The sequence below is a fragment of the Homo sapiens genome, chromosome 7 (genome assembly GCF_000001405.40).
Source record: "Homo sapiens chromosome 7, GRCh38.p14 Primary Assembly".
NCBI lineage: Eukaryota > Metazoa > Chordata > Mammalia > Primates > Hominidae > Homo > Homo sapiens.
The window spans coordinates 81,525,669-81,542,477 of record NC_000007.14 but is presented as its reverse complement, the minus strand read 5'-3'; the positions used below and the strand labels follow the sequence as shown (position 1 = coordinate 81,542,477).

The 16,809-nt window shown below is 35.6% G+C and overlaps 1 long non-coding RNA gene across 1 annotated transcript in view; it reads left to right on the top strand.

Moving 5' to 3' along the window:
• Positions 1-16,809, top strand: part of LOC105369146 (uncharacterized) — a 46,073-nt gene that overhangs the window by 19,342 nt on the left and 9,922 nt on the right. The window contains exon 4 of the long non-coding RNA NR_136264.1: positions 13,902-14,049. This is a non-coding gene — a long non-coding RNA (uncharacterized LOC105369146). The remainder of the gene's footprint in view (positions 1-13,901; positions 14,050-16,809) is intronic.

Below are 16,809 nucleotides of genomic sequence, written 5' to 3'. Positions count from 1 at the left end.
TAGAAGCATGGATTCTGGCATTAGGTAAACCTGGCAGACATTCCCATTTTTTCCTTATGGACTGAATAACTTAAGAAAGTTACTTAACTCTGTGGGCCTCAGTTTACTCACAAGTGACATCTGCTAAGAATACTTACTCAAAGGGTTTGGCAGATGATTAAATAAAAATTTGAATCCCTCACAGTGCCAGGGACATAGTGAATACATTTTAGTATTTATTATTGTTTTAGCTGTTACAATCACTACTTGAGTTTTACTCGACTTTGAATGGTTTCATAGAGAGACTGAAATTCTCTCTAATTTTTACACTGTCATGTGCATTTACCTACTTAATATGATAAGCATACTTTTTTGTAAAGGTTATTTGGGAAACCTGGCCAGAATTCAGTAACATTAATCAAAGTAGAACTAGATTATAATGTAGACAGACAGACAGGTAGGTAGGTAGATAGGTTAAGTAGGTAGGTAGATAGATAGATAAATGTAGATATATATAGGAAAGTATGAGATCAATAATTTCAATTTTTTAAATCCTCTGATCAAATTCTCAGGGTGTTTAATACTTATGCCCTATGAATTTCTCTGAGAAGATTGGGAGTAATAGTTTATAATAGTTTCCAAACTCATTGCCCATAGAATAACTTTTATGGCATATCTTGGGAAAGCAATGCTCCTTACAACATGCATTGAGAAATAATGTACAAAAATTAGATAATTGAGATGAAAAATAAGATCGGGAACTGTGAGTATAACAACATGGCTTAGATTATCTAAGTACTAATGAGCGGTCTAACCACTTACGCATACATTTTGACAGGTAAAACATTGATTGATTGATTGATTGAATGAGATGGAGTTTTGCTTTTGTTGCCCAGGCTGTAGTGCAATAATGTGATCTTGGTTCACTGCAACATCTGCCTCCCAGGTACAAGCAATTCTCCTGCCTTAGCCTCCTGAGTAGCTGAGATTACAGGCGCCTGCCACCATGCTCAGCTAATTTTTGTATTTTTAGTAGAGATGGGGTTTCACTGTGTTGGCCAGGCTGGTCTCAAACTCCTGACTTTGTGATCTGCCCACCTCAGCCTCCCAAAGTGCTGGGATTACAGGCGTGAGCAACTGCGCCCAGCCCAGATAAAACATTTTGGAAAAATTATCTGTTGCAGTGTTCTGGATGGCAGCTTTAGGGATTAGTTTTAGGGATATTACTGCTGAAATTATTTGAACTAAAACAAAATGTTTTGGTTGACACGTCCTGATTCCTCTTTTTTTATCTTATTAAGACCATCAATATCTACTTGACTTTTCTAATTGTTTTATATTTTTTTACATTCACATTAACACTCAATTGGTCTTTTTCAAGACAAAAAAATTATTTACTTTCAAAACAACATGTATCTATTTTATATGTCATATTTTAGTTCAACAAATTTAAAGAGGAAAAATACAGTGGCTAGAACTTAATAGACATAACATCCCCAAATTATATGCTCTCAAGGTACAGTCTATCGGAGAAGTTAGTATTCACTTACACATAACTATAGTACAAAGCAAATGGGCCAAAAAGGAGTCACAAGCAAAATGCTCTGGAGGATAGAAAAAATTTATTTTAAAGAGGCCAGGTTTGTGAAACTTGTAACTAAATGAATCCTGAGATTAAAAAAAAAGAGTAAGAACAGTTAAAATCAATATGAGGTTTTGAACTTGATTATGCAAGTATAGAATAGGACCTAGGTGAAATTATGATTCAGGCTTCAAGTAGTGAAAGGGAACCAATTTGAAGATAGATAAAAGGAAATAGAAATAGGTTGGATCTTTATAAATTAGGTATCAAAATCAGGATGAATGTCTTGTTAATACCGGACTAACATTAAGATCTTTTAAAGTAAGGAAACTGGTCTTACTTTTAAGACTGCAAATTTTAATTCTCCCCCCAAAAAAGGAGAAAAGAAAAAAGACAACAGACAAATGATTGCTTTGCATTTCTTTGTTTTCTACCCAAAACAATATTATGAAGCATTTAGAATCTACCTACTGATAAAATAAATGACAAAGTTTTTTTCTTTTATAAGAACAAATTTTTGTCAAATTTTGAAGATACTATTGTCCCAAAGTATTATACCCACAACCATATGCCTCCTTGTAAACAGAAGTTTTCTGACCCTTGCTGTAACCTCACTGGGGCAAAAATAATTGGCAGTAATTTCATAGAACCATAAACGTATTGCTTATTTTGAGTCATGTTAATATGCAGGCACCTCTCTTGTTTTTAACTACAAACAGTGCAAGCTGGTTCCGTTTCTGGACAAAGCTGTCAGAAGTACTTTGTAAGAATTTTGTGTTCTGTTTGTGAAAAGGTACAATTTATCTATTTATTTTAAAGAGGTGTCATGCGGCCAGAATTAGTCTAATATCAAAACTAGACTAAGACACTATTCAGAAAACTACAGACCAATATTTCTTATGAAAGTAGATGCAGATATCCTCAATAAAATATTTGCAAATCAAATCCAAAAATCTATAGAAATAATTATATGTCATGATCTGGTGTTTATCCAAAGTATACAAGGCTGGTTCAAAATATATAAATCAATGAATGTAATCCATCAAATCCCCAGGCTGAAGTAGAAAAATACCAGGAGCACATCAATAGATGCAGTAAAAGCATTTGATAAAATCCACCCTAATTCATGATAAAAATCTCTAAGCAAACCAAGAATAGAGGAGTGCTTCTTTGAATTGATTTTTAAAATCTACAGAAAACTACAAATAACATCATATTTAATGGTGGAAAACTAGGATTTCCTGGTAAGATCAGGAATAAAGCAAGGATTTCTTCTTATACTACTGCTTTCAACATCATTGATAAGGCAACAGGACAAGAAAGGGAATTAAAAAGTATACTGATTGGGAAATAAGAAATAAAACTGTCTTTGTTTGCAGATGACATATTTTTCTATGTAAAAAAACCCAAAAGAATAGACAAAAAACTTCTGGAACTAATAAACCATTATAGCAAGATTGCAGGATACTAGTTTTATATATATATATATATACACACATATATATACATATACATATATATATACACATATATACATATACATATATATATACACATATATATACATATACATATATATATACACATATATATACATATACATATATATATGTCATTTATTTATTTATTTATTTATTTATTTATGTGGAGATGGAGTCTCGCTCTGTGGCCCACCCTGAAGTGCATCTCGGCTCACTGCAAGCTCTGCCTCCCGGGTTCACACCATTCTCCTGTCTCAGCCTCCCAAGTAGCTGGGACTACGAGCACCCGCCGCCACGCCCGGCTAATTTTTTTTTGTATTTTTAGTAGAGACGGGATTTCACTGTGTTAGCCAGGATGGTCTTGATCTCCTGACCTCGTGATCCGGCCACCTCAGCCTCCCAAAGTGCTGGGATTACAGGTGTGAGTCACCGCGCCAAGCCTAGTTTAATATATTAAAGTCAATTGCTTTCTTTTATATATCAGCAGCAAACAGGTAGAAATTGACATTAAAACTACAATACCATTTACATTAGCACCCTTAAAAATGAAATACTTAGGTATAAATCTAACAAAATATGTATAAGATGTATATGAGGAAAACTACAAAACTGACTCTAAAAAAATTGAAGAAAAACTACATGGAGAGTTGTTCCATGTTCATTGATAGAAGACTCAAAATTTTTAAGATGCCAGTTCTTCTCAACTTGATCTATAGATTCAATGCTATCTCAGTCAAAAGCCCAGCAATTTATCTTGTGAATATTGACAAACTGATTCTAAAGTTTATTTGGAGAGGAAAAAGGCCCAGAATTTTCAACACACTACTGGAGAAGAAAGAAGATTGATACTACCATGGGACTTCAAAATTTACTATAAATCTACAGTAATCAAGACAGTGTGGTACTGGTGAAAGAATATACGACAGAATAACAGAACAGAATAGACAGTCGAGAAATAGACCCACATAATATAGTCAACTGACGTTTGACAAAAGCAATACAAAGATAGCCTTTTTAACAAATGATGCTGAAACAACCAGAAATTCACATGCAAAGGAATGAACCGAGACAATGACCTTATGCCTTTCCTCAAAAAATTAAGGATGGATCATACCTCTAAATATATAATGCAAAACTGTAAAACTCCTAGAAGATAACATAGAAGTAAACCTAGAGGACTTTGGGATGGGACTGACTTTTTAGATATTATACAACATGAAAGGAATGATACATGAAGATAAAGAATTGATCATCTGGACTTCATTAAGATCAAATTTCCCTTTACTATGAATTACAATATCAAAAGTAAGTGAAGAAAACTCACAGTGAGAGAAAGTATTTGTAAAAGACATGCCTGACAAAAGACTGTTATTCAAAATATATAAAGAACTTTTAAAAATCAACAATAAGAAAACAAGCAACCAGAATAAAAAATGAGGAAAGGACTGAGCAGGTAATTCACCAAAGAAGATAGATAGATGGCAAGTAACCATATGCAAAGATGTTCAATATCATGTATCTTTAGGGAATTACAAATTGAAGCAGTAATAAAATATCATGACAAACCTATTAGAATGATGAAAAGTATTCTAATACACTGACAACACCAAATGCTGGTGAGTATGTGGAGCAGCAGGAACCCTTATTCATTGCTCTGGGAATGCAAAACAATGCAGCCACTTTGGAAGAGTGCAGTAGTTTCTTACATACTCTTACTGTATGATCTGGCAATCGTGCTCCTTGGTATTTTATCCAAATGACTTAAAAACGTATGTCAATACAACACCTGTATACAAATATTTGCTGTTGCTTTATTCATAACTGCCAACATGAGGAAGCAGCCAAAATGGCCTTCAGTAGGTGAATATATAAATATACTGTGGTACATCTAGACATTGGAATTTTATTCAGTACTGAAAAGAAATTAGTTGTCAAGCCATGAAAAGATAAGGAGGAAACATAAAAGCATATTATTAAGTGAAAAGAGCCTGTCTGAAAAGGCCACACACTATATGATTCCAATTATATAATGTTCTGAAAAATTCAAAACTATAAATATAGTAAAAATATCAGTGGTTTCTGGGGTTTGGGAGAAGAAGGAATGATTTAGCTTGGGAGAACACAGGATTTTTAGGCAGTGGATTTTGTATGATACTACAATGGTGGATACATGTCATATTTTTGCCCCAAACCATACAACATACAACACCAAGAGTAAACCCTAATGTAAATTATAAACTTTAGTTGGTAATGATGTGTCAATGTAGTTCATTGATTACAACAAATGTCCCATTGTGGTGCAGTATATCCATAGTGGGGAGGTTGTGCATGTATGGGAAGAGGAAGTATATGGTAACTCTCTACTTTCTGCTCAATGAACCCAAAACTGCTCTAACAAATGAAGTTTAATAATTTTTTTAAAAGGTGCACACAGATCAAAGAATGGCTCCTTTTCAGTAATATCTGTAGTAACACTTTTAGTGCGTTTTTTTCTGCAAAGGGAAAAAGAAATGTATGATGAATATTGTGAGGATTTGGGGGTCTGTAATGGAAAATTAACCTAGGTTCTTTGCAAATACTTGTGAAAGAAGTCCAAGTTAGACTCAGCATTTATGAAGTTTATAAATATATGTTTACTTGGATTTTTCCATTGAATATTCACAAGTTCACTGGCATGTTAGAAAGAGCTCATACTGGATTGCAAATGTTTGTTATTAGTGTCTCTTCCCAACATTTCATTTAGTAACACCTTGGTAGCTTAAACATTTTTAAAATATTTACATCATGGAATTTGGCAAACTCTATGGATTACAGACTTCTTTTTCTTTGGAGAAGGGGTTGAGTCAGTTGTTAAGTACCAGCACACCAGTGAATCCCACTAGCCTGTAAAGTTTCTATTGTGGCATAGGGCCTGTCTCATAGTTGGAGTTCAAAAAATATACATTAAATTGATTAATCAGTTTTATAAAATGATTTTACAGTGATGTTATGATTGAAGCCAAATGAGAGAACTCAGTCACCAAAGGTGGAAGTGCATTTGAGAAAAGAGGGTGAAATTAGAGTTTGGTAGAGCATTTCTAGTAGGTAATATAAGAATTAAAAATTTGGTACATTTTAACAGAAGAACTGAAATGGGAGAGTTCCCTAACCCCTTAGAGAGACTTGTGACAGGGGTGTGGCTCATTTGCTCGGCTGCTTCTAACTCAAACCCCTTATGGGAGGGAGAGCACACAGGTGAGCAGGTGCTGGAGCCAGGGCAAGCACTTTGGGCTCCGGCCCCATGGCAGTGTCTAGGGGTGATACAGTGCTCTTTTAGCAGTTGCCATCCATGGGCAGCTAAGTGTTAACCAGCTCAGTGGAGAGTCAGGGTGACAGCCTTTTTCACCCTACCCTCTTGTTACCTGGGTCCTTGTCCAGGATCCAGGAAGAATCAGGTCACTCAGACTTGAAGGAAAGTGAATGCTGAGGTTTTATTGAGTGATGGAGGTGGCTCTCAGTGGGATGGGGAGCAGGAAAGGGGATGGAGTGGGAAGATAATCTTTTCCTGAAGCCTGGTTGCCTCCGGCCGGGCTTCTCTCCAAAATCGTGTTGTCTGAAGTTAAGCCACGTCTATCCACAGTCTCTGACATTCAGTTGCCTCTTCGCCTCTCCACGTTCAGCTCTTTGTTTTTTCTCTCCTTCTCTGCTGTGCCGCTCTGCTGCTCTGCCAGTGGAGCTTGGGGTTTATATGGGTACAGGATAGGGGTGTGGTGGGCCAGAGTGGTCTTGGAAAAGGCAACATTTGGACATGAAAACAGGAATGCCTGTTCTTATTTAGGGCCGTGGGTTTCCAGGCTTGAGGGTGGAGCCCTCACCAGGGACCCCGCCCTCTTGCCTCCTGTGCATATCAGAACTAAAATGTAAATTCAACTTTGTGCATTCTATTGCAAACTGGAGGTGTAAAAGGAAGTCAAGGGTTTTATATTCTGAAGAGAGTGAGCCAAAAGTTACTATTTTTTTAGAAGAGTAGTGGAGCTAAAATCCAAAAGGCAAAAATTGATGGATAATTGAGTGTATAAGTGGAGGCAGAACGAGTGTGGGAGTGTGAAAGAGTACACTGTTCCCTCCCATCAGGAGACCTGACTAGGTTTCAAGGCTTCATTCTACTTTTTAGGTGGTGCCTTTTTTCTTGCACAAAGAGGTAACTTCTCTGTGGTCTATGTGCCTAATCAGTGAAACAAAGATGATGACTTGGAAGGTCATTTCCAGCTGGAAAGTTACATGATTCATGCATGGTTCTTTGAGAGAAAAAAATTGAGTCAGTAGAGGATAAAAAAAAAGATGATACTTAGAGTAACAATGTTCATTTTTGCATGTATAATAAAGAATCCTGAAAATGTTGGTAGACAGAAAAGATCTGAGGTAGAGAGTAAGTTACAATATTTAAAGGAGGAAGGATATTTATAGACTATAATGAGAAAAAGAATATAAGTAGGGGTACTAAGGTTACAAAGCGATGAAAAAATTATTTCTTAGGAAAAAATAAAAACAATTATATTTATTAACAACATACCATATAGTTGCTGTTCTAAATACTTTGTATAGAACATATCCTTTAATTCTTACAAAAATATAAACGATAAAAAGGTTTCATTTCTATTTTACAAGAAAGTAACTGTGAGGTTCCTTGTCTAGGAACTGCCATGGAGACAAAATTTGAACCCCAAATTCTGACTCAAGAATGTGTAGGCTGGTAGGCAGAAGCCTGTGGCTGGCACCTGTTTGCTCATTCACCAGGCTGGTGACTTAGCCAAGCCATTTACTACTCAGAGTCTCTGTTCTCTTACTCATCAGATAGGAACAATGTTTTGTTTCTCATCTAACTCCTAGAGCGATTATGAGGCTTACTTGATAAATTGTGCCTGTAAAAGGTAAAGTATGATAGATACATGGTATTTTTTTTTAAATGGACAAACGGTCATTGAAATTTTATGTTAGGGGATAAAAATTAGGGGATTTAATCTGGAATGCCCTGTATTAATTCATTAAAGTAGACAAGGCCATGTGCTGAATATAAATAAATAGTATTGGAAACTTAAGGGGCATGGAAAAGATTTGGACAAATTAATACTGGTTAATCCCCAGTAGTATTATATTTTTACTCCAGTTTGATAGTGGGAAATTTGCCAGACCATAACAAAGGAAATTCCAGATTATGATTTAGCAGAGACTTTTGTGTTGGCTTCAGTGCCATTTTGCTTTCTGTCAACATTCATACCATCTTAATATATTAGTGCTGTGTGTCAGACAGAAAACTGCACTTGCAAGGGAAACAGATTTCTCATGAGATTCTGAACATTAGGATGACAACAACATTGGATACATATACACATGCAAGTTTTCTTTCTCAGTTTTCTCTTTTCTTCTTTGGCCCAAACAAGAAAATGCAGAAATAAAGCCAGAAGGATGTTAGATTTATTTTTGTTATTTGTTTGAACCTGAATATGAATTTGCTTAGATTTTTAATGATGTTGTTTAATCCTTACTACTTTACTCGTGTTTTTCTAATGCAGCAAATCTTAGAAGCCAGGATGAAAGCAAGGGTGGGAAGCATTATTATTACTTTTTTATTTTGTTTAAAAAGAAGAGTCTGTATGAGGGGGAAAAAGAGACAAAGGGAAATTATGTCCATGCCCACCCAGAATTCCTCAGCTGGAAAGCCCTCCTAAGTTAAAGTAATTAAAGTCCAGCCTGTGGCTGGAGGCTGTGTATGTATAAACCCCAGAGATAGCATAAAAATAGCCTTTGGGCATCCTCTGAGACAGAGGATGTTCAATCAGATTCCAAGAACTCAAGAACATGTGTTTTACCAGGGAGAAAGCCAAAATACAAACTTTCCTGTAAGTACTACAAATGCCATATGGAAAATTGATCCCATAAACTAAGGAGAAAAACATAATAAAGGAATGATTTTTGAATCCCATTATGCCAGTTAAGGGATATATTCCAGTCTTTCAAACTAATTTCCAAAAAGTACAACCGAATTAAAAGGGAGGATTTGAGTAATAATTCAAGTACCATTTCTGGTTTTCTTAGCAAACCTTTGTACAAATGGCTACCCTGACTTGTTACTTGCAAACTAAACCCATTTTCAAAAGAGAGAGAAAGAGATCATTACTTTCCATTACTTTCATTGGTTCCTGTATTATATGGTAGTTCAGATTAGTGTTTGTTTTCCTTCAAATAAAGCTGTTGAATGGTAGCAAATTTATCTTGCCTAAGTTGTAGAGAGCCTCCCACTATGTAGGGATACTTGACAGGCCATATTGTCTGTATTTGGGAAATTACTTATTGCATTTGTTTATAATTATTAAGGCAGAGTAGAGTTCAATAGTGAGATCATAAACTATAATTAACATAAAGTCTGTCCTTACATAAAAATATTTGTTACATGGTGTTTACTATAATTTCCAAATTATAAGGCAGGAATAATGACATTTGATCAAATCTTATATTTTTCATATAGCCTTATGCTTTGCTTGTGGTTTATAATATTTAAAATTTTACTTAATATAAAATAAGTATAATTCAAATATACTTATATTTATTGTCTATTTTAGGTAGTCCTATTATTTCCTGGAAGATTACTTCTGTTTTACCATTTTGCGCGCTTATAGGGATTTTTAAAAATAAAAAGCCCATTGTTTTTAGCTCATAAAATTATCCCTCTAGAACAAATTTGCCTTTATTTCTGTCTTGCACTCTGTGAATACCGTGTACTCTGAATCAAATTTTTTATTAATCTTTTCATCAGGATTTCCACAGTATGAAAATAAGGTAAATTTGAACTCTGTACCAGAACAAACACAAGTTTGTGACTTTAATTTATCTAAATGAACTTTTGATTTTCCTTACCAGATCTCTGGGCTGAGAAATCTTTCTTGCTGTGGAATGTATGTAGTTCTAGTCCCAGTGAGAGTACCAGCTTTCATGACTTGTGACTCTGCACAGACTTTCCAGTTTTAACTTCTTTTCTCACACAGTCTCAATGCCTAGCGTCCCATAATCCCTGAGCAAACCATAAATGGCAAGCCTTTTTACCGTTTGGGCCATGTGCAAAGCTGCCCAAATTGAGCCTCTAGTGTCCTTGCAAAGTGAGTTTGCACTCTTGTTGCTCTGGCTTTCAGTTTCTTCTCCATGGGTGACATCTATAAACTTCCCCTTCTATCCTGTAAATTCAATTCTGTACGCTCAGATTTATCATTTCAGGTATTTTGTAATAGAAGATTGTGATAATTAATTTTATCTGTCAACTTGACTGGTTGAAGAGATGCCCAGATAGCTGGTAAATCATTATTTCTGGGTGTGTTTGTGAAGGTGTTGCTGGAATAGATTAGCATTCAAATCCGTAGATTGAGTAAAGGTCTGCCTTTGTTGATGTGGGTGAATGTCATCCAATTCACTGAGGGCCGGAGCAGAAAAAAAGGTAGAGAAAGGGCAAATCTTGCTCTTTTCTTGAGCTGGGACATCCATCTTCTCCTGACCTTGGACATCAGATCTCCTGTTTCTTAGACCTTCAGACTCTGAGACTTATACCAGCAGATTTCCACCCCATCCCCTCAACCCTGGTTCTCATGCCTTTGGTCGGAGACTGACTTATATCACTAGTTTTCCTAGTTCTCCAGCTTACAGGCAGCAGACGGTGGGACTTTCCAGCCTCTCATAATTATGTGAGCCAATTCTCTATCTATCTACCTACCCACCCATCTCCTATTGGTTCTGTTTCTCTGAAAAATTCTGAATAATACAAAGAGGCTTCTGCCAGATTTTTGGAAACAAAAGCCTGAAAGGACATTTTCATTTAATTCATAAAGTTGACTTCAAGTACACAAAATTGGACATTCATGACTCACTGTCATCATTGTTATGCTATGGCCTTCTTTCATTAGATAAGTCATTTTTATTAAAAATTAGCACCTACCATACAAAATAATACCCAAGATCTTGATGTTGTGTAAAAACAATGGTAAATAGCAATGCAGTTGTCAAAATGAAGAAATTATGGTGAAATGACCAGTAATAACACCCAGCAATATGCATGGGACCTAGCAATACGCCATTCATTTTTTTTAATGACTTAATTAAAGGGGAAGATTAGGCTAATAATTCGAGTACCAAAAGATTACAAACATCATTATAGACACTTTGTAAAGTTATAAAGTTAAAACAAAGCAAGACAATATTGAATACTCGTTTCAGGATGAAGGTTATATTTGATGATGGTATTATTTTTAAATTTGTACAAATGTATGCAGTATATGTGCAATTCTGTTACAGACACACATTGTGTAGTAGTCAAGTCAAGGATTTTAGGGTATGATAATGATATCTTGAAGGCAGGTAGAAGAATGAAACAATGGGGGCAGGAAAAACCTCATAATTAGGCATATATTAATTTCAAACTCCTTTCTTTTCTTTTCTTTTTTTACCTTTTATTTTAGGTTAAGGGTATATGAGCAAATTTGTTACAATAGGTAAACTGTGTGTCATGGGAGTTTGGCATACCTATAATTTTGTCACCCAGGTAATAAGCATAGTATCTGATAGATTGTTTTTCTGATCCGCTCCTTCATCCTACACTCCATCCTCAAGTAAGCCCCAGTGTTTGTTATTCTTCTCCTGGTATTCTTGTGTTCTCATTGTTCAGCTTCCACTCATAAGTGATGACATGTGTTACTTGGTTTTCTGTTCCTGTGTTAGTTTGCTTAGAATGATGGCCTCCACCTCTATCCATGTTGCTGCAAAGGACATAATCTCATTCTTTTTTATAGCTGCGTAGTATTCTGTGGTATATATGTACCACATTTATTTATCCAGTCTACCATTGAAGGGCATTTAGGTTGATTCCATGTCTTTGCTATTGTGATTAGTGCTGCAATAAACGTATGTGTGCATGTTTCTTTATAGTAGGATGATTTATATTATTTTGGGTATATACCCAGTAATGGGATTGCTGGGTTAAATGGTAATTCTGTTTTAAGTTCTTTGAGAAATTGCCCCACTTATTTCCACAATGGCTGAACTAATTTACACTCCTACCAGCAGTATATAAATGTTCCCTTTTCTCGGGAACCTCATCAGCATCTGTTATTTTTTTGACTTTTAATAATAGCCATTCTGACTGGTGTGAGATGATATCTCATTGTGGTTTTGATTTGCATTCCTCTAATGATCAGTGATATTGGCAGTTTTTCAGTGTTTGTTGGCTGCTTGTATGTCTTCTTTTGAGAAGTGTCTGTTCATGTCCTTTATGCACTTCTTAATAGAGTTGTTTATCTTTTGCTTGTAAGTTTATTTAAGTTTCTTATAGGGGCTGGATATTAGACCTTCGTCAGATGCATACTTTGCAAATATTTTCTCCCATTCTGTAGGCTGCCTGTGTACTCTGTTGATAGTTTATTTTGCTGTGTGGACGATTTTTAGTTTAATTAGATCAAGTTTGTCAAGTTTTGCTTTTGTTGAAATTGGTTTTGCTATCTTTATCACAAAATATTTGTTCTTTCCTATGTCCAGTATAATATTGCCTAGGTTGTCTTCCAGGGTTTTTATAGTTATGGGTTTTAAATTTCAGTCTTTAATCCATCTTGAGTAGATTTTTGTATATGGTATAAGGAAGGGATCCAGATTCAGTCTTACGCATCTGGCTAGCCAGTTATCCCAGCACAATTTATTAAATAGGGAGTCTTTCCCCATTGCTTGTTTTTGTCACCTTTGTGGAAGATCAGATGGTTGTAGGTGTATGTCCTTATTTATGAGCTCTCTATTCTGTTCCATTGGTCTATGTGTCTATTTTTATACCAGTAACATGCTGTTTTGGTTACTGTTGCCCTGCAGTATAGTTTGAAGTCAGGTAGCATGATGCCTCCAGCTTTTTTCTTTTTGCTTAGGATTGCCTTGGCTATTTGGGCTCTTTTTTGGTCCTATATAAATTTTAAAATAGGTTTTTTCTAGTTTTGTGAAGAATGTCATTTATGTCATTGGTAGTTTAATAGGAATAGCACTGAATCTTTAAATTGCTTTGGGCAGTATGGACATTTTAACAGTATTGATTCTTCCTATCCATGAGCATGGAATGTTGTTTTCATTTGTTTGTGTCATCTCTGATTTCTTTGAGCACTGTTTAGTAACCTCTTTATTTTCAATTCAAACAACATTATGTAAAATTTGAATATTACCACACTGCTTTCAGCCCTCTGTGGAATTTCTTTTTACTTTGCAGCCCCAAGCAGGATTGTGTGGGATTGCACACAAAAGTGTCTGCATCAAGCTAGGGGGGTATTAATGTCCCTTTTATAGTCTCCTTATGACAGAAATAACCAGTAATGATGAGATTAATTCATAGATCCATTATTTCATTTGAGACAGATTCACTGGTTGAGCAGATATTTTATGGTACCATACAAAAATAAACTGACAATATTGAGATAAAGATGTCTCACAAAAATTTGGTAAGCACAGCATATGTCATTTGTCACAATAATGTGTAATTAAACTTTTTGAAGGAAAATCTTATTGTGACTTTAAAGAAAAATATAATTAACAAAGATTTTTTTATTCCCTTTTCTCCAGAGAAAGGAAAGATTATTGAATATTTGGTGAATGTCTGTAAAAGTTAAGATAGTTAAATAGATAAAAAGAACCCTGGAACCAATTGCAAATTAATATTCTCTCCCTAAGGTCCATAATGTTCTATGACCTCTGCCTTCTCCCTGGTCTTGGAGTTTTTAGGAATAGACTAATTATTAAATACCTTTTCAATAAGAGCAGGTTAACTTCCAGTCAAGATCACATAGTCCATTTTCTCCCTGCTTTCCTGCCAGACAAAACTGTGAACCCTGGAAATAACACAAGAAGCAACCCAGGAAGAACTTTGAAAGATGGGAAGAATATATTCTTTCTTGGAACCCCAGGATTTGAGGAACAATATATTGGCATATCACCTCACGTCTTCCCACCCAACAGGAGAAGGTAAACCAGACTTTATTTCCTGAGCCCAACCTAGGAACAGAAGGCAGCCTACAGAGTACTCATTTCTCCTCAGGAGGGAATGGGAATCCTTCTGACAATGTCAGCAATGTCCAAAAAAATTGAGGATTAATCAGGATTTTCACCAACAATAAGCAGCTGTTAGAAGCGCTCTCTTGCGACTAGATCTCTTACAGAGAGACAACAAGGCAGGTAAGCTGAACAAGCAAAAGACACACAACCACTATAAGTGGCCAGCCCTGGGATACCTTTCAACCTCATAGGCCTGAGATTCTCCTCCACTGCCTAGGGACACTGGGACAGCAGAAGACACTGCAAGGGGGAATTCTCAGTACAACAAGGACCTGACCCAGAAAGTGGTCTATGTCTCCTAAAGGCAAAAGCAATGCTTTTCAACATAAAAAGTGCCTAGTCAAAGAAGCATCTTTATCTATGTATGCCTGTGACTCCTCCCTTCCACCAGTAAACACTGGGGCAAGTGGAAGTAACTAGAAAGTTGCAGACAGAGTCATCAGGCTTGAAAGACACTTTGTCCCTGTGGACTTCAGATCCACCTCTTGATGGAGCGACACCCAGTGGGAAAATCCTTTTTACCACCTCAGAAAGGACCAAAGTGAACAGCAAAAGTCCCAGTGGCACCAGATATACAAACTAGACTGAAATAACATTGCAAAGCATCTGATAATTAAACTAGTCATTGGGAACACAGCTCACAAAAGTGAGCAATGCCCGTGTGTTAAACCTAAACATGACAGCTGTTGCTGCAAAACAATTTAATTAGGACCCAGAATCTTTTTATATAAGAGAAAATATTCAAGATACAATAGAAAATCACCTGTATTACAAAGAAGTAAGAAAATCACAAATGGAATGAGAAAAAGCAATCAACTGACTTTAGCACTGAGTTGAATCTGATTTTGGAATTGTCTGAGGAGGATTTTAAAACATTTATCATCAATATGCTTCAATGTGTAAATACGAATTCACTATCAGAGTATGGGATGCAACTAAAACAGTACATGAAAGTAAATTTATATCAGTAAATGCTAAAAATGAGTAAAGTTTCAAATTAATAACCTAAATTACTACCTCAAGAAACTAGAAAACCAAAAACAAAATAAACTAAAAATAAGAAGACTATACTATCAAGCTTGGTCCAGCAGCTAGACCATTTTACATACCCATCAACAAAGTGTGAGTGATTCAGTTCCACCACATCCTCACCTGCATTTGGTGTTGTCACTATTTTTATTTTAGTCATTCTGATAAATGTGTAGTGGTATCTCGTTATGGTTTTAATTTGCATTTCCTTAGTGACTAATAACATGTTGAGCATCTCTTCCTATGCTTATTTGTTTAAACTATGCATATTTGCTTTAATGACCACATTTCTTTTATTCTTTAATATATGAATGCTGTTTATACCTAATACTGGCCTGCCATTTGTATTTATCAACTATCTGTCCTTTTTCATTTTACTTTCAACCTCTCTGTGTCCTCATATTTTTGCTATGTAAAACGCTCTTTGTGTAACTCTGTAGTCTAATGTTTAAACTCAATATTGTGGTCTGTATTTTTTTCATTGGCAACTGCGTACATTTACATTTATTTTAGTTGTTGATATATCCGAATTTGACTTTTATGATCTTAGCTGTACTTTCTAAAAACTTTGTCTATTGTTCCTTTTCTTAATTTTTTTCTCTTTTGGTACACTGAATTCTTTTCTATTCTTTCCCTCCACTGGTTTCAGAATAATACATTATATTTTTATCAGTTAGTGGTCACCTTGAAAATTTTTCTTGAACCAGTCAGAATGAATTCATTAAATAGACAAAAACCTTACTCATTTGAACAGGTAAAATTTAATATAAAGAATTTTACTTAAAAAGTACAAGTAAGATTATACAAGTCAATTCAAATATATCAACCACCACAATGAATGTAAATAAATGCAACTTGCCAATTTAAAAACGCAGACCATAAAATAATATACAGTTTAAAACTCAATATAAAGATGTTTTAACTAATAAATTGTAATGAATTACAAAGGTGCTATAAGAAAACACTAAGTGTTTCAAAAATAGCAAGTATAAAAGAATAGCTACTAACTCTAGGCTCAGGAAGAAAGGACAGTGAAAACACTGTAAGATTAGGAGAGGGCCTCCCTCTCTGAGGCTGAGAATATTACCTCTGGAGGAGGATGTAGCTACTACAAGAACATGCAGCCTCTTCATGGTAAAGAAAGCTGCCAGAAGGCTCTGGCCTGAACTGGTCTTTAGAAACAGACAGAGTACCCTGAAGACACAGCTGGCATTGCCAGGAAAGTAGTCCACTGATGGGAAAGCAGCCCACCAATGCTGCTCTGAGAGCATGCCTGAGGGTGTAGGTGGAACTACCAGTGGAAGTCATTTCCTGGAGTTGCTTGGAAGCTGCTAGGTGGAGAATGTGAGCAGATAGTGGGTAGGACACTGTCTGAGGATTACTGGAATCCCATGACAAAAATAAAAAATAATAAAAGGAGGATTGAAACTTGGAAGAGAGGCATACTTCTGAGGGTTTTGCTTGGTACTGTAACTCCAGAACTCTCTATTCACAAAGCCTAGAACTATATCACTTAGTAAAGAGAAATGTTCAAAAGTTAGAGCACTCCAGCTTCACAATCAAGGCAAAAAGAGTGATTTAAAGCTGAAAGACAATAATTGGAAAACTGGTATAAAAGCTTAACAAACATTCGTACTAAAT